Consider the following 26,613-nt stretch of genomic DNA (forward strand, 5'->3'; position numbering starts at 1 on the left):
CATGGGGAGATTTGTGGGGAGGATTGCAATTTATCAGAGGGCAGAGATAAGTAGGAATCAAGTTGTGAAGGGCTCAGTATGATGTGTTTGAAGGTTTTGTGTTTAATCCTGAGGACAGTGGAAACAAGATCAAATCTGATTATTATTATTATTATTATTATTATTATTATACTTTAAGTTCTGGGATACATGTGCAGAATGTGCAGGTTTGTTACATAGGTATACATGTGCCATGGTGCTTTGCTGCACCCATCAACCTGTCATTCTCATTAGGTATTTCTCCTAATGGTATCCCTCCCCTAGCCTCCCACGCCCTGACAGGCCCGGGTGTGTGATGTTCCCCTCCTTATGTCCATGTGTTCTCATTGCTCAACTCCCACTTATGAGTGAGAACATATGGTGTTTGGTTTCCTGTTCCTGTGTTAGTTTGCTGAAAATGATGGTTTCCAGCTTCATCCATGTCCCTGCAACAGACATGAACTCATCCTTTTTTATGGCTACATAGTATTCCATGGTTTATATGTGCCACATTTTCTTTATCCAGCCTATCGTTGATGGGCCTTTGGGTTGGTTCCAAGTCTTTGCTATTGTGAGTAGTGCCGCGGTAAACATACGTCTGCATGTGTCTATAGTAGAATGATTTATAATCCTTTGGGTATATACCCAGTACTGGGATTGCTGAGTCCAATGGTATTTCTGGTTCTAGATCCTTGAGGAATCACCACACTGTCTTCCACAATGGTTGAACTAATTTACACTCCCACCAACAGTGTAAAAGTGTTCCTGTTTCTCCACATCCTCTCCAGCATCTGTTTTTTACTGACATTTTAATGATCACCATTTTAACTGGCATGAGACGGTATCTCATGGTTTTGATTTGTATTTCTCTAATGACCGGTGATAAGGTTTTTTTTTCCTATGTTTGTTGGCCACATAAATGTCTTCTTTCGAGAAGTGTCTGTCATAACCTTCGCCCACTTTTTGATGTGGTTGTTTTTTCTTGTAAATTTGTTTAAGTTCCTCATAGACTCTGGATATTAGCCCTTTGTCAGATGGATAGATTGCAAAAATTTTCTCCCATCATGTAGGTTGCCTGTTCACTCTGATGATAGTTTTTTTTGCTGTGCAGAAGCTCTTTAGTTTAATTAGATCCCGTTTGTCAATTGTGGCTTTTGTTGCCATTGCTTTTGGTGTTTTAGTCATGAAGTCTTTGCCCATGCCTATGTTCTGAATGGTATTGCCTAGATTTTCTTCTAGGGTTTTTATGGTTTTAGGTCTTATGTTTAAGTCTTTAATCCATCTTGAGTTAATTTTTTTTGTCAAGTTTGTCAAAGATCAGATGGTTGTAGATGTGTGGTGTTATTTCTGAGGCCTCTGTTCTGTTCCATTGGTCTATATATCTGTTTTGGTATCAGTACCATGCTGTTTTGGCTACTGTAGCCTTGTAGTGTAGTTTGAAGTCAGAAGACAAGAAATTACTAAGATCAGAGCAGAACTGAAGGAGTTAGAGACATGAAAACCCTTCAAAAAGTTAATGAATTTAGGAGCTGGTTTTTTGAAAAGATTAACAAAACGGACCACTAGCCAGACTAACAAAGAAGAAAAGAGAGAAGAATCAAATAGACACAATAAAAAATGATAAAGGGGATATCACCACTGATCCCACAGATATACAGACTACTATCAGAAACTACTATAAATACTTCCAAGCAAATAAACTAGAGAATCTAGAAGAAATGGATAAATTCCTGGACACAGGAATATACCCTCCCAAGACTAAATCAGGAAGAAGTCGAATCCCTGAATAGACCAATAACAAGTTCTGAAATGTATGTATCCAGCAGCACATCAAAAGCTTATTCATCACGATCAAGTTGGCTTCATCCCTGGATGCAAGGCTGGTTCAACATACACGAATCAGTAAACATAATTCATCACATAAACAGAACCAATGACAAAAACCACATGATTATCTCAATAGATGCAGAAAAGGCTTTCAATAAAATTCAGCATCCCTTCATGTTAACAACTCTCAATAAACTAGGTATTGTTCACTCTGATGGTAGTTTCTTTTGCTGTGCAGAAGCTCTTTAGTTTAATTAGATCCCATTTGTCAATTTTGTCTTTTGTTGCCATTGCTTTTGGTGTTTTGGACATGAAGTCCTTGCCCATGCCTATGTCCTGAATGGTAATGCCTAGGTTTTCTTCTAGGGTTTTTATGGTTTTAGGTCTAACGTTTAAATCTTTAATCCATCTTGAATTGATTTTTGTATAAGGTGTAAGGAAGGGATCCAGTTTCAGCTTCCTACATATGGCTAGCCAGTTTTCCCAGCACCATTTATTAAATAGGGAATCCTTTCCCCATTGCTTATTTTTCTCAGGTTTGTCAAAGATCAGATAGTTGTAGATATGCGGCGTTATTTCTGAGGGCTCTGTTCTGTTCCATTGATCTATATCTCTGTTTTGGTACCAGTACCATGCTGTTTTGGTGACTGTAGCCTTGTAGTATAGTTTGAAGTCAGGTAGTGTGATGCCTCCAGCTTTGTTCTTTTGGCTTAGGATTGACTTGGCGATGCAGGCTCTTTTTTGGTTCCATATGAACTTTAAAGTAGTTTTTTCCAATTCTGTGAAGAAAATGGGAGAAAATTTTCGCAACCTACTCATCTGACAAAGGGCTAATATCCAGAATCTACAATGAACTCAAACAAATTTACAAGAAAAAAACAACCCCATCAAAAAGTGGGCGAAGGACATGAACAGACACTTCTCAAAAGAGGACATTTATGCAGCCAAAAAACACATGAAAAAATGCTCATCATCACTGGCCATCAGAGAAATGCAAATCAAAACCACTATGAGATACCATCTCACACCAGTTAGAATGGCAATCATTACAAAGTCAGGAAACAACAGGTGCTGGAGAGGATGTGGAGAAATAGGAACACTTTTACACTGTTGGTGGGATTGTAAACTAGTTCAGCCATTGTGGAAGTCAGTGTGGCGATTCCTCAGGGATCTAGAACTAGAAATACCATTTGACCCAGCCATCCCATTACTGGGTATATACCCAAATGACTATAAATCATGCTGCTATAAAGACACATGCACACTTATGTTTATTGCGGCATTATTCTCAATAGCAAAGACTTGGAACCAGCGCAAATGTCCAACAATGATAGACTGGATTAAGAAAATGTGGCACATATACACCATGGAATACTATGCAGCCATAAAAAATGATGAGTTCATGTCCTTTGTAGGGACATGGATGAAATTGGAAATCATCATTCTCAGTAAACTATCGCAAGATCAAAAAACCAAACACCGCATATTCTCACTCATAGGTGGGAATTGAACAATGAGATCACATGGACACAGGAAGGGGAATATCACACTCTGGGGACTGTGGTGGGGTAGGGGGAGGGGGGAGGGATAGCATTGGGAGACATACCTCATGCTAGATGACGAGTTAGTGGGTGCAGCGCACCAGCATGGCACATGTATACATATGTAACTAACCTGCACAATGTGCACATGTACCCTAAAACTTAAAGTATAAAAAAAAAAAAAAAAAAAAACGAAAAAAATAAAAATAAAAAAAAATAAAATAAACTAGGTATTGAAGAAACATACCTCCAAATAATAAGAGCCATATATGACAAACCCACTGCCAATATCATACTTAATGGGCAAAAGCTGGAAGACTTCCCTTTGAAAAGCAACACAAGACAAGGTTGCCCTCTCTCACCACTCCTGTTCAACATAGTATTGTAAGTTCTGGCTAGGGCAATCAGGCAAGAGAAAGAAATAAAGGGCATTCAAATAGAGAGGAAGTCAAATTGTCTCTGTTTGCAGATGGCATGATCCTATATCCAGAAAACCCCATCGTCTCAGCTCAAAAGCCTCTTAAGCTGATAAGCAACTTTAGCCAAGTCTCAGGATACAAAAATCAATGTGCAAAAATCACAAGCATTCCTACACACCAATAATAGCCAAATCATGAGTGAACTCCCATTCACAATTGCTACAAAGAGAATAAAATATCTAGGAATACAACTTACAAGGGATGTGAAGGACCTCTTCAAGGAGAACTACAAACCACTGCTCAAGGAAATAAAGGACACAAACAAATGGAAAAACATTCCATGCTCATGGATAGGAAGAATCAATATCGTGAAAATGGCCATACTGCCCAAAGTAATTTATAGATTTACTGCTACTCCCATCAAGCTACCATTGACTTTCTTCACATAATTAGAAAAAACTAAATTTCATATGGAACCAAAAAAGAGTCTGTATAGCCAAGACAATCCTAAGCAAAAATCTGGGTTTTAAGACCACTCTGTTAGGTTAGGGGAAGTTGGGGGCAAAGAATTTAAGTGAGTCATAGCATGTATACCAGCAGCATTGTAAGTGACCTGTATATGTGTGTGTACATGGATGTGGACATTGCTGGGAGGCTGACATAGGTCCCATAGCTAATAAAGGGTAGGGCTGAGACTGGATGGAACCCAGTCAGTTTCATTTCACAGTCTATGTACTTTATTGTTACATTGTTTTGCCTTTCATATTGTATTGGTAGGACATAATAATAGTGATATTTGTATTAATAATTTGATTAATAATTATATTAGTTTGCTAGGACCATCATAACTAAATACCACAGTCTGGGTAGTTTAAACACATAAATGTATTTTCTCACATCTCCAGAGGCAGGAAGTTCAAGATCAAGGTGCCGACAGGTTTGGCTTCTCCTGAGGCTGCTCTCCTTGGCTTGCAGATGGCCTTTCCCCCGTGTCCTCCCATGCTCTTTCCTCTGTGCACGTGTCCTTGGTGTCTCTTTTTGCATCCAAATTTCCCTCTCTTATAAGGATACTAGTCAGATTGGTTTAAGGATCACTCTAATGGCCTTATTTGTAAAAATTAATTATTTAGTTGATCAAAATTGTATCTGTTTTTCACGTACTCCACAATGTTTTGAAATGCATATCTATTGTGGAATGGCTAAACAACCTAATTAACATAAGTTACCTTACATCCTTAGTTTTTGTGATAAGAGCCCTAAAAATCTACTCTTCATGATTTTCAAGAATACAATACATTGTTATCAACTGTAGTCACTGTTGTACAGTCACTGTATCATAGATAGATCTCTGTCTAACTGAAATTTTGTACCCTTTGACCCAGGGTCTCCCCAGCTTGCAGCTCTGTAGCCACCCTTCTGCTCTCTGCTTCTGTGAGTTCAGTTTTTTAAGATTCCATATATAAGTGAGATCATACAGTATTTGTCTTTCTGTGCCTGGCTTATTTTATTTAATGTATTGTCCTCCAGTTTCCTCCACGTTGTTGGAAATGACAACATGGAGGATTTCTTTCTGTTTTAAGGCTGAATAGTATTCATTGTGTATATGTTACCATGTTTTATTTATTCATTCACCTGTTGATGGACACTTAGGTTGATTACTGGCTATTGTGAATAATGCCTCAATGAACATGGGAGTGCAGATATCTCTTCAACCTACTGACTTCAGTTCCTTTAGAGGAAACTCCATGCTGTTTTCCATAATGGCTGTACCAACTTATATTCCCACCAGCAGTGTGCAAGAGTTCCCCTTTCTCCACATCCTCTCCAAGACTTATCTTTCATCTTTTTGATAATAGCCATTCTAACAAGTGTGAGGTAGGTGATACCTCACTGTGGTTTCAATTAGCATTTCCCTGATATTTAGTGAGCATTTTTCACATACCTGTTGGCCATTCATATGTCATCCTTTGAGAGATGTCTGTTCAGGTCCTTTGTCCATTTTAAAAATTGGGTTGTTTTCTTGCCTTTGAGTTGAGTTTCTTATGTTTTTTATACTAATGCATTATCAGATGTATGGTTTGCAGACATGAAATTTTTCCCATTCCATCAGTTGTCTCTTCACTTTGTTTCCTTTGTGGTGCAGAAGCTTTTTCATTTTATGTAATCTTGTTTGTCTATTCTTGATTTTGTCGACCATGCTTTCAGGGTCATATCTAAAAAATTATTGCCCAGACCAATGTAATGGAGCTCTTCCCCTCCATTTTCTTCTAGTAGGTTTACAGTTTCAGGTCTTATGTTTAAGTCTTAAATCTATTTCAAGTGGATTTTTGTACATGGTGTGAGATAAAAATCTAATATTGCCCTTCTGCCTATGGGTATCCTAATGGCTTCCGTTTAACTACATCACATCTTTAAAGGCCCTATCTCCAAATACAGTCTCTTTCTGTAGTACTGGGGTTTAGGGCTGCCACAGGTGAATTTTGAGGATATACAATTCAGCGAATAACAATAACATAATAATACTATTATTAATATTAGTATTCTGCTAAATGCTACCAGTACTTCAATAGTTTAGTTAACTCATATTTTTTGTTCTCATACTCATTCCTGTTGAAGTGAAATTAGAAAATTTAGCAAATTAGAGTTTTGTTTGTAAAATATTCATGAAAAGTTTTCAAATTAATTTTTTTAAGTGTTGGCTATTAATGACTTCTTGGTCAAACTTTAAGCTTCCTATGGGAACTTCACTGTAGAGTTCATGATTGAATATTTTCAGGGTCTTCAGTAGATATCGGGGAAAGGCCAGGGAATATGAAATCCCAAATGTTTTCCAACCCACAGTTAACAGCTAACTGTCTATATAATCTTCCAATTCAATGGAAAGGCAGAATTTAAAGATGATGTTAAGAATAAATAAAGGAGAGTGAACTTTTATGTAAGATACAGCTCATGTCAAGAACTAAATATATTCATAGTTGCAATGTCTTTAGGTGATTTCTGAACAAAAGAGAATAACCTTTGTTGTCCGACATGTTTCAGTGAATTAATGGAGATTGTGCATGTATCCAAGGACTACAATTCAAGAAAGACCAAAGATATACTTTGCTAATAGTTTTAAATAACTAGAGGAGATGTTTCTCTCAGAAATTTTGGTTGTTCTCAACCCTGGCTATCTATTAGAATCATTTGGGGAGCTTTGTACAGTTGCCAGTGCTCTGGCCCCAGAACAAATCAGAATCTGTAGCTAGTGGAGTTGGGGTGAGGGAGTGTGCACAGAGATGGTAGCGTGCAGCCCAAGCACTGGAATTGCTCTATAAGCTCCCCAGGTGATACTAACAGGTCTTTATCTCCTCATCTCCTCTTAGGAGAAGAGTTCCCTGAGAATCAAAGTGAGAGGCCCACATTTATTTTTGTATCTCCCAAAAAGCTGTAGCAGAAGGTAGTGGGTGCTTCCTGTTTTTTTTGTTTTGTTTTGGTTTGGTTTTTTTTTTTTTTTTTTTTTTGAGAAAGAGTCTGGCTGTGTCATCCAGGCTGGAGTGCAATGGCACTATCTCAGCCCAGTACAACTTCTGCCTCCCGGGTTCAAGTGATTCTCATGCCTCAGACTCCCAAATAGCTGGAATTACAGGCACATGCCACCACGCCCAGCTAATTTTTGAATTTTTAGTAGAGACTCAGTTTCACCATGTTGGCCAAGCTGGTCTCAAACTCCTGGCCTCATGTGATCTGCCCACCTTGGCCTCCCAAAGTGCTGGCATGAGCCACCATTCCCGGCCTGACTTCTTTTTTCTTTTTAAGTTGAAGGTACACATAGTATCATCCACTGGATGTCCTCCATGCTTTATACATAATTTTAAAAATATATAGAAAACCTATATTGTGCCAGGTATGAGGAAGATAGCTTCTTCCCCTCCCCAATGCCCACCTCATGTAAAGAAAGATAAGAACCAAATTATCTGCCCTCAGGGAATGTGGTCAAATGGAAGAAAGAGAGACAGGGAGGGAGGGAGAGGGGGTGGAGGGAACTAGTAAGGCATCAACAAAAATAGCTACTACCTATAAACTAATGCTAACCAAAGAGAAGGGCAGCAGATGGTTGGGAATGTTTAGGGATGGGGTGGGATGGGACAGGTGGATGGATGGATGAAAGGAAAGTGGTAATGGTTTCCTTATTTGTCTCCATGATGAAAAAAGAAGCCATTAAGACCAACTTTCATCACATTCCAGTTCTTATTGGAATTGATGCAATTAAGAAAATGTAAAATAGCGTGTTTTTTGTGTATTCTTTAGGCTTGAGTCTTTACTTTTGAGGAATGTTAACACAATACGGTGAATTTTAATGATTACTGCTTGTGTTCCTTTCAGAAAAATGCCTTTTAACATGTTTCTTATTAGAGAGGAATGAAATTTTTTTTTCAGGTCTTTAGTGGTTAGGAAAGTTGCAGTTCACATGAGCACCAGTTAGAGACGATTATAACCCAACGGTGTGGTTGTGCCATTTAAGGAGAGCTCAGCTGACACTTTTTGAAATTGTGGAAAAATGTTAGTTTGAGAGCCAAATGGCAGCGGTTTGGCCCTAGAAGAATTACACAGAGTTCTCAGTAATATAGTTATTCTAAGGCCTTAGAAATGGCCTGGCCCAGACTGCCTTGGCACTCTGCACCCTGGAAAGAGAGGTTGTTATGAGCTCAGAGCCACATGGCCTCTCAATCCCTGGGCTTATCCTGGAATCTATATCATTACACTCCCCATTCAAAGCTGTTTCTACCTTATCACCTAAGTTTGTTTTAACTATAATATACAATCAAAAAAGTTAAGTTCTTCAGGAAGCAGTAAGGCACGTGCTGACCATCGTGAGCTATTCTCCAGCTACCTTAAAGGATTGTCAGTAAGATCCTCTGGTACTTACATTCGCTTTGAGAAGCATCTGTGAACAACTACAGAGAGGTGGGAAGATCATTATTTTAAAACTTATTTTAAGTTTTAATGGGTTCCAGCGATCATTTTGGTGATGCGTTCTTAAGACCCAAATTATGAAAGCTGACAACCTAACAGGTGTTGGAAGACTGCAGCAGGACATCTCTGCCATTTTACATTTAACATGAGTTACCTGGTTATTTTGGCTGCTCTCACATGTGGGAAGAGGGTGGGTGGCACCATCCTCCTCCTGCCATGGCTTCTGAAGCACAGGATGAGGTTAAACGGAAGTCACCTGCTCTTCTTCCTGGGTGGTCATAGCTTGCATTCATTTAACGACTGTTGATCGAATACCTGCCATGTTTCCGGTGCTGTGCTGAGAGGATGGCAAATAAAACAGACGGCACCCAAACCCTGAGTGGAGAAACTGGACAATAAAGAAGACAGGGACAGGGGAGAGAGAAACAGAGATACATAGATGAGTTTTTATCATCTATAATTTCCCTTGCAGGAAAGAAGTGATTAATTATTAATAGTGAGGGTGATTGATTTTTTTAAATTCTGAATATTGATATTTCTTAGACCATAGGTTCATTTTTTTCAACAAGAATTTGTGGAGTACCTACTATGATCAAGAGAATGTGCTTATGGATTTAAGAACCCATGATTTAATAATCCCTTGTTTTGTTTTTATTATTTTATAACAAAGTAATAGTTTTTAGCTTTCCCATGATACAAATAGACTTTAGTGACAATAAAAATATTAGAAGAAACTAATGATTTCTAGCCGCTAGCAAACAAGTTGCTTTGTTCTTTCAACTTTTCATCTGGTATTAAATATCATTGCCCACTGCTCCCCCGACCCCCACCAACCAAAAATAAAGAAAAAGAGAGAAAGAGACGGGAGAGAGGATGAAGAGATGCACAGAGGGATAAATAGGCAGATGGATTGATAAAGGTAGTTAAATTTGGAGGCCATGCTATGAAGAAAATAAATCGGTATGGTTGAAAAAGTAATGGGAATGGGAGAGGAAACTAGGGAGGTGAAGGTTCACCAAAGACCTTTCTAAGGAGACGATAATTAACATTTAAGTTGAGGCCTAAAAGAAGAGAAGGAGTGAAGGGGGGCAGTGCTTAGGGAGAAGGAGAGAGTATGTTCATATAATACATGTTCATACACGTATGGCGGGATGTGTTAGGGGTGGGGGCAGGCACAGTGGGGAGCGTTCACCCAGAGGGACTTGCCTTCCTACAGTATCGAGGTGGGGGAGAGATTGGTGTGCTTGAGGGTACTGAAAGCAGGAGAAGTTGCCAAGCAGTGAGTCAGGCAGTAGACTGGGGCCAAGAACTCACAGGACCTTGAGGGCTCAGGGAGGGTCACTTGGCTGAGGGGGCTGTGAGCTCTTCTTTTGGATGCCCTGCCTGGCTCTGCCTAACATCTTGATGATATCGTCAGGGAGATGCAGTTGTAGTGTCAGAAGGTGGGAGACAGGAGCCCTGTTTGCACACCCTTCCCAAACCTCAGTCAAGGGATCCATGTGCTTGTTTTGCAAGATCCTGGAACCACGTAAGGTAGCAAGTCACTAATTAGAAAGTTTGCGGTGTTTTGCATTAAAGCTTGTTAAAAGTTGTCAGAGCAGGTTAAGCACTCTCACCTTGCCCCAGGGGCATATACAGCTTTTCTGAATGTTGTTTTGATGTTACTCTTTGTTGTACAATATGCAGCTTTTTAGCATCTAGGGTCACTGATCTTTGAGAATGGGACCACAAAGTCATGTCAGCCCAGCTGTGTCCTCCCATCTTGGTTTTGCTGTTCACAGTAATGTATTTGCATGCTAGGGAGGCCATAATAAAATACCAAAGACTGGGTGGCTTAAACAACAGAAGCTTGTTTCTCACTATTCTGGAGGTTAGAAGTCCAGGATCAAGGCACCAGCAGGCTTGGTTTCTCCTGAGGCCTTGCCCCTTGGCTTGCAGGTGGCTGTCTTCTCACTGTGTCCTCACTTGGCCTTTTCTCTGTGCACACACATCCCTGGAGCCTCTCCCTCTGCTTATAAGGACATCAGTCCTGTTGGATTAGGGCTCCACCCCTATCACCTCATTTAACCTTAATTACCTCTTTAGGGCCGAATCTCCAAATACAGTCACATTGGGGGTTAGGGTTTCCATAAATGAATTGGTGGGGGGGACATGATTTAGTCCCTAACAAGTAACGATTATCTACCGAGTGCTTAGCACACGCAGATGCCAGGGTCAGTGCTTTACTTGGATTCATATATTGCAGTCCCCATGACAGCCCTATGAAGTCCCATTTCAGAGATTTGGAAACCAATACACAGAAAGATGAAATGAGTTGCACAGATTGTATGATTAGTGAGTGGAATTCAAATTGTGTGCTATCAAAGTACCATTGAACCTCACACTGTTTCTCAATCTCTTGGTGTCCCCTCTGGGAGTCCCACTGTGAGTGAGTGGGACTTGCTCAACTTGCTCCCACGCCCCACTAAGCCGTGCCCGCCTCCATCCTGAGGCGCGCAGTCCCACTCTGCCTTCTCCCTAGAGTCACATATTATTAGCATTGATGTAGTCCCCTCTGCTAGCCAGTCATCTGGCCTCTCCAGACACGTCCCCCCGGCCCTTGTGTCTTTAGTAATAGCTGCAGGAGTAGGTTCCATATTTGACTGATTCCCCAGGAGACATGCAAGCCTGGTGTTATCAGGTGTTACCTATCATCACCAGTCCCCAAGTTCTCCTGCTCATGATTTCAGGGTGTAGGTCACACATTCTGCTGGGAAGATAAAAGTTGTTGTTGTTGTTGTTGTGAGTGTTCGTCTATGTTTGGGCTACATCTTTTGTACTCTGACATCTTTGTTAGAATTCCGAGTGGAGAAATGACTTGGGGCCCAGAATCTTCTAATTATTAGGTTTCCTCTTGCCCAGAAATGCTAACAGAAAGATCTGTCTCCCTAGTGCTCAGAAACGTTAGGACAAATGACAAAAGCTGCAGCAAGTGATAAAGGAAAGGACACTAGCCAGAGGCAGTGAGCTGCAGGAATCCTAAGCATGACACAGAGACAGAGGGATCATGGTGTCATTGACCTGCATGGCTTCTGGCAGTTAGACCAGCTCTTTGGCAATGTGATGTTTCAAGGCCAAATCAGCCCTTATTGTGTTCCTCTGTCCTTCTAGCTTATGTGTGTCCTCCACACCTGCTTCTGTGCTCTTGTTTACTTACCACTTCAAGGTTGAAAAAGATAAGAATATTTCTTGATTGGTGGTCTCAATGAGGTATCTTTGAAGTTTATGGAATTTCCCATTTGTAATAGATCTTAGCAAAAATCGATTCTATATTCATTTTAGTGATACTGCCCATGGGGGCAGAAAGGTAGGATGAAATTCACCCCAGATTCCAGTCTTGTTTTAAGCACAAATAACCAAAGGGCCCGATGTGAAGGCACATAAAGTACTTGATATGGCTTGCTACTACTGACAGTGGGTAACATGCAGGATCTGGTGTGGAACCAGCTCAGTAATCTAAATGTAAGAGCTAACACTCGAAAACTCTTAGAAGAAAATATAGATGGACATCTTCATGACCTTGGATTAGGCACCAAGAGAATAACAACCAACAAAAAATAGATAAATTGAACTTCATCAAAATTAAAAAATGTTTGTGCTACAAAGGGTACTATCAAAAAAGTGAAAAGAGGCTGGGCACAGTGGCTCATGACGCCTGCAATCTCAGCACTTTGGGAGGCTAAGACATGAGAATTGCTTGAGGCCAGAAGTTCAAGACCAGCCTGAGTCTTGAAGTGAGACCTACTCTCTACCGCCCCCACCCAAAAAAAAAAGAAGAAGGAAAAAAAAAGTAGTGAAAAGATCATCACAGATTAGGAGAAAATATTTGCAAACCATGTATCTGATAAGGGACTTCTATCAAGTCTATATAAGGAACTCTTACAATTCAATAACCACAAGACAGCCCACTCAGAAATGGGCAAATGATCTGAATAGACATTTATCCAAAGAAGATGTACAGAAGTCCCATAAGCACATGAAAAGAAGCTCTACACCATTAGCCATCAAGGAAATTCTGATCAAAACCGCAATGAGATACCACTTCACGTCCACTAGGATGGCTATAGTAATTATTTTTAAAGGCAATCTTAGGCTAGCAAGGATAAAGAGAAATTAGAACCCTCACCCAAAACTGATAGGATTGTAAAATTGTATAGCTGCTTTGGACAATAGTCTGGCAGTTCCTCAGAAGGTTAAACATACAGTTTAACCTGAATATATTAATCACCAATTTTTAAGAGAAATGAAAACATATACCTACACAAAAACTTGTATGTGAATATTTATTTTAACATTATTCATAATAGCCAAAAAGTAGAAACAACCCAAATGCTGATCAAATTGATAAATAAAATGTGGTATATGCATACGATGGAATATTATTTGGCCCTAAAAAGTAATAAAGTGCTAATACAGGCTACAATGTGGATGAACCTGAAAGTAGTATGCTAAGTGAAAGGAGCCAATGACACATGGCCACATTATATGATTCGATCATATGAAGTGGCCATAATAGGCAATCCATGAAGACAGAGAGTGCATTGGTGGAGCCAAGGCCTAAAGGTAGTGGGGTGGGCAGTGAGAGAAGAAATAGGGGTTGATTGCTAATAGGCATTGAGTTTCTGTTTGGGGGTGATAAAGATGTTCTAAAATTGATTGTGGGAATGATTATACAGCTCTGTGAATATCATAAAAAGCATTGAATTGTCCACTCTAAGTAGGCGAATTGTGTAGTATAGAAATGAAATCTCAATGAAGCTGTTGAGTAAAATCTCAATGAAGCAATTATTTTTTCTTAAAGTAGGTATATCATCCTAATAATAGAGGAGAAAAACTGAAGTTTACTATATGGTATTCCAAATTGAGCAGTTTGAGTTTAGGATGAAGGATTTTTCTGTGTGTGTGTGTGTGTGTGTGTGTGTGTGTGTGTGTGTGTGTAAATCTGGAATATTGAAATTTTAAAGACGCCAGGTTCTTGGGACATATCTTCTTTTTCACAGACTCCAGGAGTTGGATACCCAGTCCCCAATCCCTCTTTGAGTTCATTCCCTTGATTCAGTTAGAGCTAGACATAAGACATTTTTTCTTCCCCTTCTGCTCTTTTGAGATCTCTTAAAGGATTTTAAGATTTTATAAAACCATACTCTGGTTAGCGCGATAAACCTCAAGGATCATAATGTATATGCCCGGAGCTGCCTTATCTGACTGGTAATAGTTCTCTTTAGCATAGAGCAGCCTCAGAAATCTAAATGTCTTCAGGAGCCGAACAGATAACCAATAAATCTCATTAAAGCAGTGACAAATTGTGGGGCCTATTGAGTCTCGGTTTCATAACTGAAATCTGGGTTGTAGTACACAGGTTGTTCTAGGAATAATGATACCTTCTTTTTGTAAGGATCAAGTGAGATGGTGTTTAAGAAGGCACCGTATAACACGTAGCAAGCTATACAGTTATTAATTTGGATATGAAATGAAGTCTGTTCTTTTCTCAAAAAATTTGTAAAGATTAATTTTTATCATTTGATTGATATATAACCCATAATCAAGATAATTAACATAGCCATCACACCCAACAGATTCATCTGCCTCTTAGTAATTTATTCCTACTCTCCTCCACCCTTATCCCCTACCAGCCACTGGTCTTCTGTCTCTATGGTTTAGTTTGCATTTTGTACATTTTTTTATAAACAGAAACGTACCACATATATTTTTGTTGTCTGAGTTAATTTACTCAGCATAGCTACTTTGGAGTTTATCATATCACTATGTGTGTTAATAGTTCATCCCTTTTCATTGCCAAGTACTAGTCCATTGTACAGATATACCATAATCTGTTTATCCATTCACCTGATAAACATTTGGATTTCCAGTTTTTGGCTATTGCAAATAAAGCAGCTATGAACATTCATTTACAAGTATTTGTAAGGACATATGCTTTCATTACTGTTAGGTACATACCTAGGAGTGGAATTGTTGGGTCATGTGGAAAGTGTATGTTTACTTTTTTTTTGTTGTTTGTTTATTTTTTGTTTTGATATGGAGTCTCGCTGTGTTGCCCAGGCTGGAGTGCAGTGGCGCGATCTCGGCTCACTGCAACCTCTGCCTCCTGGGTTCAAGCGATTCTCCTGCCTCAGCCTCCCGAGTAGCTGGGACTACAGGCACCTGCCACCATGCCCGGCTAATTTTTGTACTTTTAAAGTAGACATGGGGTTTTACCGTATTAGCCAGAATGGTCTCAAACTCCTGACCTTGTAATCTGCCCACCTTGGCCTCCCTAAGTGCTGGGATTACAGGCATGAGCCACCGTGCCCGGCCACATTTATGTTTTAGTAAACTGTCAAGCTGTTTTCCAAAGTGCTGGTTCTATTTTACATTCTCTCCACCAGTGTTTGAGAGTTCGAGGTCCTCCCTATCCTCCCCAACACTTGCTATGGTCAGTCTTTTTAACTTAAGCCAATCAAGTCGATGGTAGTGCCATCTCATTGTGATTTTCATGTATGTTTCCCTAATGAATAATTATGTTGAACATCTTTTCTTGTGTTGATAAGTCTGTTACTTTGGCATCACTTCACATCCAGCTTACTCTGTGCATAAGAGAATTTCACTCTTTTAACTGATTGCATTGGAATGCTGACCAACATGTCATTAGGAACAACTGTGGATTTTCTGTTACTTTATATTTAACTGGGCATGTTTGTGAAAGGATCCAGAACATCCTCCAACTTAATTTTCTTTGTATGTGTTAGGTTATTTCGATGCTCTAAAATTTTGACCAAATTGATTTTTAAGGTGTGGCCTGATTTCAAGGCAAAATTAGGGGTTATCAACTTATTTTATTAGATGTCTAATTCTGTAAATGAATATATATACAGAAGTGGATTTCCACTTGAAATAAGCTGTAATATTGACATCTCGCTATATTCAGAAATAAGATGTTTGAGTTGGGAGGGACCTTAGCAGTCACTCTCTTCAGCCATTCCCTTCATGCCCCCTGCAGCACTCATAAGGGGGTTCATCTTTCCACTGTCAGAGATTCGAGTATCTGGAAGGACCTTGTACAATAAGCATACAACAAAAAAATTCTCCTTTTGTAGATGGTTGCTAACTGACCTTCATTTGAAATTGTTTTATGGTAGTTATTTGATGGGAGTTATCAGGTGAGATTTAGCCATCCAGAGCAAGCACTGCCTATTAAGAATTTCATTGCTGTGTTTTTAAATATATGTAAAGCGTAAAAAGGGGTGGGGGAGTAGGCAGAAAGAGCCTAGAATCTGTATTCCCCTCAGTCTGTGATGAAGGAAGCCCTTTGCAAGCCTTGCTTTCACAACCTCAACATGGCATGGGCTTTGCTGTCAGTCAGGTCTGAGTTGGAATCCCAGCTCTGCCTCTCCTTCTCCATGAACGGGGTCATGAGGGATTATGGGTATTTTGTGGGTAGGGAGGTATATTATACCCTCCTCGTGGGGCAGCTGGGATGCCTACCTGAGATAGGAGATGGAGGGCACTGGCACCAGGAAAGCACTGGGTCTGTTTCCTTTTCTTACCTCTTTCTCTTTCTCCTCTTCCACATGTTTTCTCTCATCACTTAGGTCACTTATAGAAATCGTTCTTTTTACTTCTATTTCAATCAATTTTGGAAATTTCTCCAAAAAGATAATAATGGTAATGAATACTTAAGCAGTAACATTTAGCAAGTCCCTTTTATGTACCAGGAATATCAAGTACATTTCATGCATTTTTTTTTCATTTACTTTTCACAAGAACTCATGAAGTAAGCTGCAATTAAGGCAGAGAGGAAACGGAATGAGTGATGGAGTCAAGGTGTGAACCAAGCCCTAACTGACCCCAGAGCTCTTAATCACTCTGTATATTGCCCCTATATCTAATTTTAGGAATGCTCAGTTGTCTGTGTTTCCACCCCCATCCAGATGATGATAATATGAAAACAGTAACAGCTGGTGCATACCTCGCACTGAGCACTGGTCTGCCTGCTTTCCACATATTAACTCATATAAGGCTCACTGTAACCTGTCACAGGTTCTATTGCTGTCTCCATTTTTGTGATCCCCATTTTTTAGGTGAGGAAATGAAGGTGCAGAGACGCTAAGTAACTTGCCCACTTACTCAGGTTCACATAGAGTTACAATTGATGTTCAGTCTGTCGTTCCTAATGCCTCCGGTGTCTTTCCCCTATCACTTCATCATTTCTTAAAATTCATTTTAAGCCCATTTCAGACCAATCAGAGAAGAGATGGGAACTCCCTCCTGCTTAGCTTAGACATCCGAGCTACTCTTTCCAGTAACCTGTAGAATTCTTTCCTTATCCTTGCTGCAGTCTTTCTAAAGTGGTGATATATTGGACACTTCATCCAAAGGCTGAACTGAGACTAATGCCTAAGCAAGAAAGAAAAAATAGCAAATTCATTAACTAGGAATCTATTTACAGTCAATTCCCAAGGCTCATTGTGCAGTCAGTGGTTCTGCATCATTTAGAGTTGCTAATAAATGAAAGTCTTTGCGTCTTTCCAAGTGCCTTGATATTTACAAGTCTCATATTTTACCATAGGAAATGGCTTCAACAAGCATATTCATGTGTTGACAGTTCTAATTAATACAAGTAATTAGCCCTGACAGAACTGTGAAAAGGAGACCCATTCATAAATTTGCTAATTATGTTACTCTGCTCAGAATTTAATCGCAGTCTAGTCTTTAATCATATCTGTATATGGGCAAAAGGCCATCTTACTAAATTCTTCAGGCTTTTACATTTACTTCTGGCAAGAGGATTTTACTGAAATTAATTTGTGGCTGCAATTTAATTTTCCAGTATGCAGGAACTGGTAAAGAACACAGATTATAATCTTTCTGGAAAGAAACAAGAAAATGAGAAAAGGCAGACAAGGGAGGAGGAAGGCATCAAGTACATACCATATGCTTTCTTACATGTAAAGCTTGTACGTTTCTACCTATTTTAATGCCTTTTCTGAAAATAAAGATAGTCTTATTTAGGCCACTGGTAGGTTTATGGTACAGAAAATTTGAAGATGGTTGGTTACTTTGATCCAAAGTTGAGCCCTCTTCTCTTGGATGTAAATAGCCTACTTTTTCAAGTGCTTTTGTTCTTGAGCAGGGGTTCTCAACCTTGGCACTATTGGAACTTTGGGCTGGATGATTCCTTGATTCCTTGTCGAGGTGAGTGTGACTGCCCTGTGTATTGTGCAGTGTTGAGTAGCATCCCTGGCCTCTACCCACTAGACGCAAGCGCACCTCTCCCCTAGTTCTGACCCCCAAAAGTGTCCCCAGATGTTGCCAGTTGTCTCCTGGGGAGCAAAATCACCCCTGGTTGAGAACCGCTATGCTTGAGAGTAACTTAAGATAAAAAAAAGAATCCAGTAAAACTTCTATATAGAACACTTATAGCAGCTGTAGCAAAATCAGTAAAGCACCTTTTCTTGGAATCATTTACCAGGCATCATGATACAGAACTCAGATTTGGAATGATATTCCTTGAATTACAATACTTCCTTCCTACTTTTTCAGCATTAAGCTCCCTCTGGTCCTCTTAGATAGAAAGTAGAGTTGTGCTTGGTAGTAAAGTAGCTTATCTAAAACCCCTTTACTTTTCTTTTTGTTAGTAGATACACTGGGCTCTTCATATTCATGGATTTAACATTTGAAGTTTTGACTACTCGCGGGTGACCCCAGTGTTCTGAGTAATCAACTCCCAGTGTTCTTTGTCTTCCTTTCCAGTTCATTGATTCCTTACTTTGTGGTCTTGCTCTTCTCCCTCCACTGCTTAGATTTCTGGTCCATATAAATACCTTCCATGCCCTTGCTTCTCACCCTTCTTCCATTTACCTGGAAAAATCCCAGACTTGAGTGAGCCTGGCCACTAGGCTTCTTGGAATGTGGATCTGGCAGCTAAGCCTTATTAGAGAACATGACTCAGCAGAGCAGACTGAGCCTATCATACATGCACATTAACCTCTCAACTATCCTAGACCTCCCTAAGAAAATGGAATCCACCCCTAGGCAATGCCCCCAACCTCCCATCATGAAAACTACAAACGAACCTATTCTGTACTCACCACCCCCTACTTAACTCCTTCCTTCCTGACAACTGAGCAGGGAAGTCTTCTTCCCTTATCAAAAGCTAATCCTTCACCCACCTACCCCAGCTTCTCAGAAAAATATTTTGTCATTGAGTATCCCCTTTTCCCTTGTGTCTTCAGCCTCTCAGTCTCTACTGGATCCCTCCCATCAACACTGAAAGATATTCTTAGTCTCTCTCCTCTCCTATCTTGAGAGAGAGAGGAAGAGAGCAAGTGAGTATGCAGTAACACACAGCAGCCTTTCAGTAACCATCCTTCCCCGTTCCATTTACATTCATATTGTCCTCTTCAACTTTGAATCTTGCCTCTACTACTACAGTCATGTTGCTACTCCCATTAGTCCAATAAAACAGTTCTAGCTAAGATCCCCTGCACCCTCTATGTTGCTAAGGCCTGGAGTCACTTTCCTTCCCCAAATTTACTTAACATAGTTAACTACTCCTTCCTTGAAACCATACCTTTTTTCTTTCTTGTTTTCCCAATGTCACACTTTCCTGGCTTTCCTAATATGGTCTGGTCTCTTTCCTGGGTCTTCTTTGCAGGCCCACCCACCTCCACTTTACCTTTGAACATCAGCCTTCCTAATGACTTAATTGTAGCTCTTCTTTTCTTCTCCCAAGGCTTTAGTTGCTATTTATATGCTGGCAACTTCCAAATTTATCTCTTCAGCCCAGTTTTCTTTCTGAGCCTCTAAAATTACAAATAAACATATTCAAGGACATCTCAGATGCATCATGTACAAACTGAATTTATAATTCTTTTATACCTTTGCAACTCATTCCTTTTGGCCTTTTGGACGTAGTGAGTAACCAAGCCTTCTTGATGGTAACTCAAGATACATCTCAAATCCTTTCACTTCTTTTTACATCCATTAGTGAAAGCCACTGTTCTTTACAAATGGATAGTAGAAGGTGAGGATGTAGAAATAAGAGCCAGGTCACACAGGGCCTTTTAGGCCATCTGGGACTCTGATTTTTCTCTGAATGAGATGGACCCCATTAGAGGGTTTTGCTCAGAGGAGTAACATAATCTAACTCAACTTAGAAGGACCACTGTGGCTGCTGTATTGAGAATAATTTGTAGAGCATCATAGTGGGTTGAATGTTATCCTCTGAAAGATATGACCACCCAGAACCTCCAAGTATGACCTCATTTGAAATAAGGCTCTTTGCAGGTAATTAAGGTAAGGATCTCAAGATGAGATCATCCTGGGTTAGGGTCAGGTGTCCTGATAAGAGACAGAAATGGAGAAAGCAGACACAGATGAATGAGCCATGTGAAGACAGATTGGAGAACAGTCACAAGCCAGGGAACACCAAGGATGGCCAGCACCACCCAAGCTGGGCTAGAGGCATGGAATGGGTTCTCCTGCAGAGCCTCCAGAAGGAACCAACCCTGCCAACAACCTTGATGTCAGACTTCTGGCTTCCCAAATTGCAAGAGAATAAAGTTCTGTTGTTTTAAGGAACTCAGTTTGCAATAATTTGTTATAGCAACCCTAGGAAACTGATACAAGCATCAAGGGTAAAAGCAGAAGGCCAGTAGGAGTCCATTGCAGTAATCCAGGCAAGAGAGGACTGCGGCTCCACTTAGTAGCTGTGGAGGAGGTGTGAAGAGGTCAGCTTCTGGACACATTTTGCAGTAAAATGAAAGGATTTTTTGACAGAATGCCTGCAATTGTGAGAGAGAGAAGTGAAGAATGACTAAGGTTTTTGGCCAAAACCACTGGAAAGTTGAAAGTAGTTCAGGTTTACAGGAATTAGAGTTCAGTCTCAGAGGTGTATACATTGAGAGAATTAGTAGAGCTCCATGTGCCATCATCCTGGAGCCCTGTTGACTTTTAGGGATGGCACCATGTTTGAGAGGCTACAGAGGAGACCCAGAGCCAGTAAGCAAGACATAGAGTTTATAGAGAGGACTTACAGCATAGTCCAGTGGCAGCGGGCTAGACAGGAGAACCGCAATTGCTTGAAAAAGCACGAAGTTTATAGCAAAGACACAATGAAAAAAAAAACATGGGCCGATATCACTGATGAACATAGACAGAAAAATCCTCAAAAAAATACTAGCAAACTGAATATAGCAGCACATCAAAAAGTTAATTTACCATGATCAAGTAGGCATCATTCCTGGGGTATAAGGTTGGTTCAACATACGCAAATCAATAAATGTGACTCGCCACATAAAAACCATATGATTGTCTCAATAAATTGCTAGTTTTTCCAGCATTATTTGGGTGAGTAGTTAACTACTCTCCTAAATAAATAGATCCTTGATGCTACTCATCTTGGAGCTATGGAGAGTTCCCCAGGTGAGAAGCAGGTCAATCACAAGAAATGCCTGCAATTTGGACCATCTGTCCTTGCACTCTTCACCGTAAGGCTCATCCTTGGTATCAGTTTTCTCTGCCTATGGTACCTAACTATATAGAAGGGATCCTCCTAGGGGCCTCCTCAGTAGCCCGAAAGCAACACTGTTCAGTAGAAGTATCTGCAGTAACGGACATGCTTCGTGTTTTCATTGTCCAACATGGGAGCCACTAGCCACAAGTGCTGAGCATGTGGAATGTATTTACAAATGGATAGTAGGAGGTGAGGATGTAGAAATAAATACAACTTAGTGCAACTGAGGAATTGAGTTTTCAGCTATGCATAATTTTAATTCATATAAATTTAAATAGCTATGTGTGCCTGATACATAATTTTAATTCATATAAATTTAAATAGCCATGTGTGCCTGGTGGCCATTGTATCAGTGCAGATCTAGAGCATTGGTTCTAAAAGTGTTGCCTGGAAGCTTGTTAGAAATGCATATTTTTGGACCCTGACCTCAAACTCCTGGACTCAAGCAATCCTCCCACTTCAACCTTCTGAATAGCCAGCTGAGACTACAGGCATAGGCCACCACATTCTTTTTAATTTTTTTTTTTTTTGGTAGAAATGGGAGTGGGGTGGGTTGTGGGGAGGTTGGGAGCATGGGAGATCTACTGCACCAGAAGCTTTGCGTGTGAGACCCGGGATTATGTGTTTTAATAAGCTCTGCAGATGATTCTGTTGTACAATAAAATTTGAGAACCATTGCTGGGTCCCACTCTCAGAGTTCATGATTTAGTTGTTCTGGGATGAGGTCTGAGAATTTGCTTTTCTAACAAATTCCCTGATGATGCTGTGATGCAGATCTGGAAATCATCTGAGAACCTGTTATAGAAGATGGACCAACTCTTTGTGAAGTGGCCCCCGTTCCCAAGAGTAAATTGCATAAATCCCACATAACAAATATTTCAAGTCAGGATCTCCCAAGTGTACCCTCCATACTTGATGAAAATCTTCCTAGCTTTTTTCCCATGATCTGGTAACAAACTGTGTCTGGCTTATAGGAGGGCTGTTAAGTACTTGTTGAATTAATAAAGAGATTATATAAATCAGCCTGAATAAAATATCTGAAGTTGAGAATTCTTTTTTTCTTTATTTTATTATTATTATACTTTAAATTTTAGGGTACATGTGCACAATGTGCAGGTTTGTTACATATGTATACATGTGCCATGTTGGTGTGCTGCACCCATTAACTCGTCATTTAACATTAGGTATATCTCCTAATGCTATCCCTCCCCCCTCCCTTATCCCACCTCTAACTTTCTGCATGTGATGGCTTTTTGGCCTTCATGATAACCTATTAGTGGAATTCCACTTTTCTGATCCGTAATTCTACAACTCGTTGTAGAAGTCATTGTTGTAGTAATTTTTCTGTCTGTAGCTTGATAAATTTTAATTGTTATAGTGGAAAGAAGGTAATTCTTAACTAGAGAAGAGTGTAGTATGTCCACACCCCCAAGAGGCATTTGCAAATGTGTGTGTGAGAGGGCTTTTGGGTTGTTGAAATGATAGGAGTCAGGGTAGAGGGGTTACAATTTTCATTCAGTGCCAGGGGCCCAGGAATGTTAAATACCCTGCAGGCACAGGACTGTCCTGTACAATGAAGAGAAACTCTGTAACCTGTTGGTAGGTGACAGTAATATTTCTTCAGTAAAATTACTTCTAAGGCCATGACTCTCTTTTGCTAGTTATATCTCTTCATGAGCATTTTGTATGAGTTTTACTTATCTCATAGGAGGGTGAAACACCCTCTGTCCTGCTCTTGCATAACATAATTTAATTCTTGCAGCAAATATTTAGTGCTGTGTAGTTTACAAAGATAGGAGACATGAGCCTACCTACAAAGAAGTTACAGTACCACCAATAAGCTGGAAATGATATAAGAGTTGTATAAACTGGAAGAACCCAGAGGGGATATTACCTGGTTTATCAGTTAAGGTTCAACCAGGAGACAAAACCAGTGGAGACATATATTAAGAGCTATTATTGCAAGGAAGTGCCTATGTGATTGTGGAGGCTGACCAGGCAAGTCCAAAATCTGTAGGGCAGGCCGTCAGGAAGGGTGAGCAGGAACTCTCAGGCACTTGGCTGAAGCTGTAGTCCACAAGCAGAATTTCTTCTTCTTCAGGGAAGTTTCAGCTCTGCTCTTAAGGCCTTTTAACCGATTGAATCAGGCTCATCCACATTATCTAAAATAATCTCCCTTAAAGTCAGCTGATTATGGACTTTAATCACATCTACCAGATGCCTTCACAGCAGCACCCTGATTAGTGTTTAATTGAATAACCTGAGATGGTGGCTTAGCCCACTTGACACACAAAAAAGAGCATCGCACTTGGAGATTGAATGTTTGCGCACTCTCTCCGAAACATGTGCCATTTGTTCTGACCCTTGAAAATGGGGAATTTTTAAGTGGGGCAGTTGGCATTCTAGAGGGGGTGACTATTAAAAATTAGCCAAAGGAAACAATAAAAGAAGCCAAGGCATGAAAGTATAATCGGTGTTTGCAGAATGGCTAGTTGTTGCTATGTGGCTTTTCCCTGAACCTCAGCTCTCAATTTCCTCATCTGAGGAGTGGGTTCAGTACTTGTCATAACTGTCCTCCAGGATGGAAGAAGATGATATTTGAGGGTGCCTTTTGGAAACAGTTAAACATTGTGAATGCTAAGGGATTTTTTTTCTTTCTTTAACCATCCATGTGTCCAAGGTATGGACCAGTCATGGACACAGGCCAAAAGCCAAGCCGGGATAAACAAGGTGTTGCTTTGTCTCTGGCTAATGTGAGATGGGCTCCACCAACCAGAAGCTACTCTTCCCATGTCAGAACACTGAGGTGTTTTATAGTCATGGTGGTGGTGGCAGTAGCATTGGTGAGAGTGTGAGGTTGGTGTGATAAAAACCGAAGGCTCGGCCGGTAACAGAGAGCCTGATTGTTGCAGACTTTGTCTAAAATTTGTGTTTTTAAGAAAAAAAAAGTGACATTCTCTTGACCTTAGTTCCTAATGGGCTAAAAGAATGAAAAACATCCCTGTATATAAGTCTGTGCCCAACTGTCACAAAGCAGCAATAGCCATTTGCTCTGGGCTAAGACAGCTCAGCCTTTTTTTTTTTTTTTTTTTTAAGGAAGTAGACCTGTTTTTGATGCTTGAGATATTAGGGGTGAAGGAGAGTCATTTATTATAAATGTGTTGAATACTTTGCCTAAATAGGGAAAGGGAGTTAAACTACATCCAAGGAAGCTGTTCCAAGTTTCTTAGGTAATGGCCATTAAGGCCAATTGACTCCGTCACCAAAGAAAGCACCAGAAAACGTGAGTCCCGTTTGACAGACTTCTTTCCTTTTCAGAACTGTGTCCTACAAACCAAACAAATCTCCCCCAATTGTTAAAGCCATATGCATTTTGAAGGAAATGTAATCCATATGTTCCTGAGTCACTTATGCCTAAGTCATTAAAAAGTTATTTTTTAAATGTGATTTCATGTTTGAAGTCATTTTAGAGTATTTTTAGTAGACTCTCATTCTTCATAATGCTAAATTTTTCTTGGTTTGTTTTCTTGTTTTATTTAAACACACTGTATATCATCTTAACACATCCTGTGGCGAGGCACAAAGGGAATCTTGAACTCAGAAGGAGGGTCTGGTGTACTGGAATAACACATTTGAGGCAGTTTCTATTTTCAGAAGTTTACAACTGTCCCCCCCCCCTTAATTTTTTATTTTATGTCCTGGGCTGCTTTTAACCTGGTCACATCGTCATCCCAGCCCTCTCCCCCCGCATTCCTTAAATGGTTGTCCATGAAGAAGAAAAGGGAAAAGAGAAAAATGACAAAGAATAAAATCACATGGCCTCCTAGGATATACTTCTGCACTGTGCTATGTGATCCTTTCTTCCCAGAATTGAATGTATTTTCCCCTTTTACCTACTATTGTTGCTAGCTGGGAGAATTAAGGTGTTTCTTAAAGTGCCAACAAAAGAGAGAAATAAAACTGAATTGAGGAGCTGTCTCCAGCTTCTCATTTTTAGGACAAACAGAAGACGGTGTCTGCTTAGAACTGAAACTAATTGAAAAATGGTTTCATTTTTTACTAAAATAAGCTTTTTTCCCCCCTTTTTAACCTTTGTCTCATGATATGAGTCTCATGATATGGACCAAGTTTTATCTGTACATGAAGCATCCTGGTTTGTGTGTGAATTTGTCCATCGTGAACATCTGTTGGCTGCCAGAGGGCACGGAAGCAGCCTTATTTTTAGGCACTGGTAGAGGTCCATTTCTCTTCTCAGGGGCTGCTCAGGCAGCAGGTGTGTAGCATCAAACATAGCGAGAGGCACTCACCACCTGGAGGAATAAAGATGTAAGGAGTTAACAATTTTACTTTTCATCTCTGCCAGCCTGTGAAATATTTTCCAATGTACTTTTTTTATTTGATTCTCAAAACTGCCTTGAGGACCATTGTTTTTGTTTGTTTTCATAAAGAAATTGAGGCTCAGGGATGCGACTTTCTTCAGTATTTCACAAGGCAATCTTGGCAGCTGGTGTGTGCCTCGGAGAGGAGGGATATCGTGCCCATCATGTGGGGACATTTGAGGACCTTCGTGGACTTTTACTTTTGAAAGCCCTGCCCCACATCATTTCAAGTGTATTAAAACATACGCAATCTCCTATCTGTCCCACAGATCCCGTGTATAATATATATCATCATATATGTGAGTTGAGTTATAAATAGTTGAGATGGTACATTTCGTAGACACTTAATTAAATGTTTACTACTTTTAATTTTATAGTTTCTGTTTCATTTTGGAACCAACTAATTATTTTGAGGTCTGGAACATTTTCATGGGCCTTTAAAAAACTCACCCTCCCTGAGTGCTGTCCCTACAGTGGCTGAAGCCGCCTCTTGCTCTCATTCACTCCTGTTTCCCTCCTCACACCTGTGGCAGAACCGAGGCAGGTGCTTACTAAATGCTTGTTGGTGAATGCCCAAGTGAGTGAGAGAAGGAATAGAAGAAGTAACAAATAAGTGAAGTACAAGTAAGTGGCAAAGTCTGGTGTCGAAGGACGTCTGAACCCTTAGCGGGCTCATTTCCTTTGCACTGTCATCACAGTGAAGCAGAACGGGCATCTTCAAGCTGTGTATCAAAGTGTGTTCCTCCCCATTTCTCATTGTTTTGTTCCAAGCCAGTTTTCTTCTCTGTTACAGCTAAGGCATGAGAAAGAATAGACTACCAGCTTATTTGACTTTTGATAAGTTCATGAAGCAGCAATAGCCACTTTCAGGTCATAATCCATTCTTTTCTCTCTGTTTAGTTGCTATAGTTTATTTTTTT

The 26,613-nt window shown here is 40.1% G+C and overlaps 2 protein-coding genes and 1 non-coding gene across 35 annotated transcripts in view, besides 2 other annotated features; 1 reads left to right on the forward strand and 2 right to left on the reverse strand.

Moving 5' to 3' along the window:
* Window positions 1–26,613, forward strand: part of RHBDD1 (rhomboid domain containing 1) — a 199,052-nt gene that overhangs the window by 144,849 nt on the left and 27,590 nt on the right. The gene's annotated exons all lie outside the window — the stretch shown is intronic.
* Window positions 7,123–7,323: a silencer, noted in NCBI's record as "peak4067 fragment used in MPRA reporter construct". NCBI's record gives its function as "represses an SCP1 promoter by STARR-seq MPRAs in K562 erythroleukemia cells {active_cell/tissue: K562}" and the evidence as "EXISTENCE:reporter gene assay evidence [ECO:0000049][PMID:32103011]".
* COL4A4 (collagen type IV alpha 4 chain) overlaps window positions 22,353–26,613 on the reverse strand; it is a 197,129-nt gene continuing 192,868 nt past the window's right edge. For all 3 annotated transcript variants that reach the window (XM_011510565.3, XM_011510570.3, XM_011510562.3), the window contains one exon: window positions 22,353–25,624. In XM_011510565.3, the coding sequence (XP_011508867.1) occupies window positions 25,566–25,624 (59 nt within the window). In that variant the 3' untranslated portion in view covers window positions 22,353–25,565. The remainder of the gene's footprint in view (window positions 25,625–26,613) is intronic.
* On the reverse strand, window positions 23,982–24,115 carry LOC124900533 (small nucleolar RNA SNORA48). The gene has a single exon (XR_007088726.1). It is a non-coding gene; the product is annotated as a small nucleolar RNA SNORA48 (small nucleolar RNA).
* Window positions 25,492–25,561: an enhancer, noted in NCBI's record as "active region_17196". NCBI's record gives its function as "activates an Ori minimal core promoter by ATAC-STARR-seq in GM12878 lymphoblastoid cells {active_cell/tissue: GM12878}" and the evidence as "EXISTENCE:reporter gene assay evidence [ECO:0000049][PMID:35858748]".

Source organism: Homo sapiens, chromosome 2 (assembly GCF_000001405.40).
Source record: "Homo sapiens chromosome 2, GRCh38.p14 Primary Assembly".
NCBI classification, from domain to species: Eukaryota; Metazoa; Chordata; class Mammalia; order Primates; family Hominidae; genus Homo; species Homo sapiens.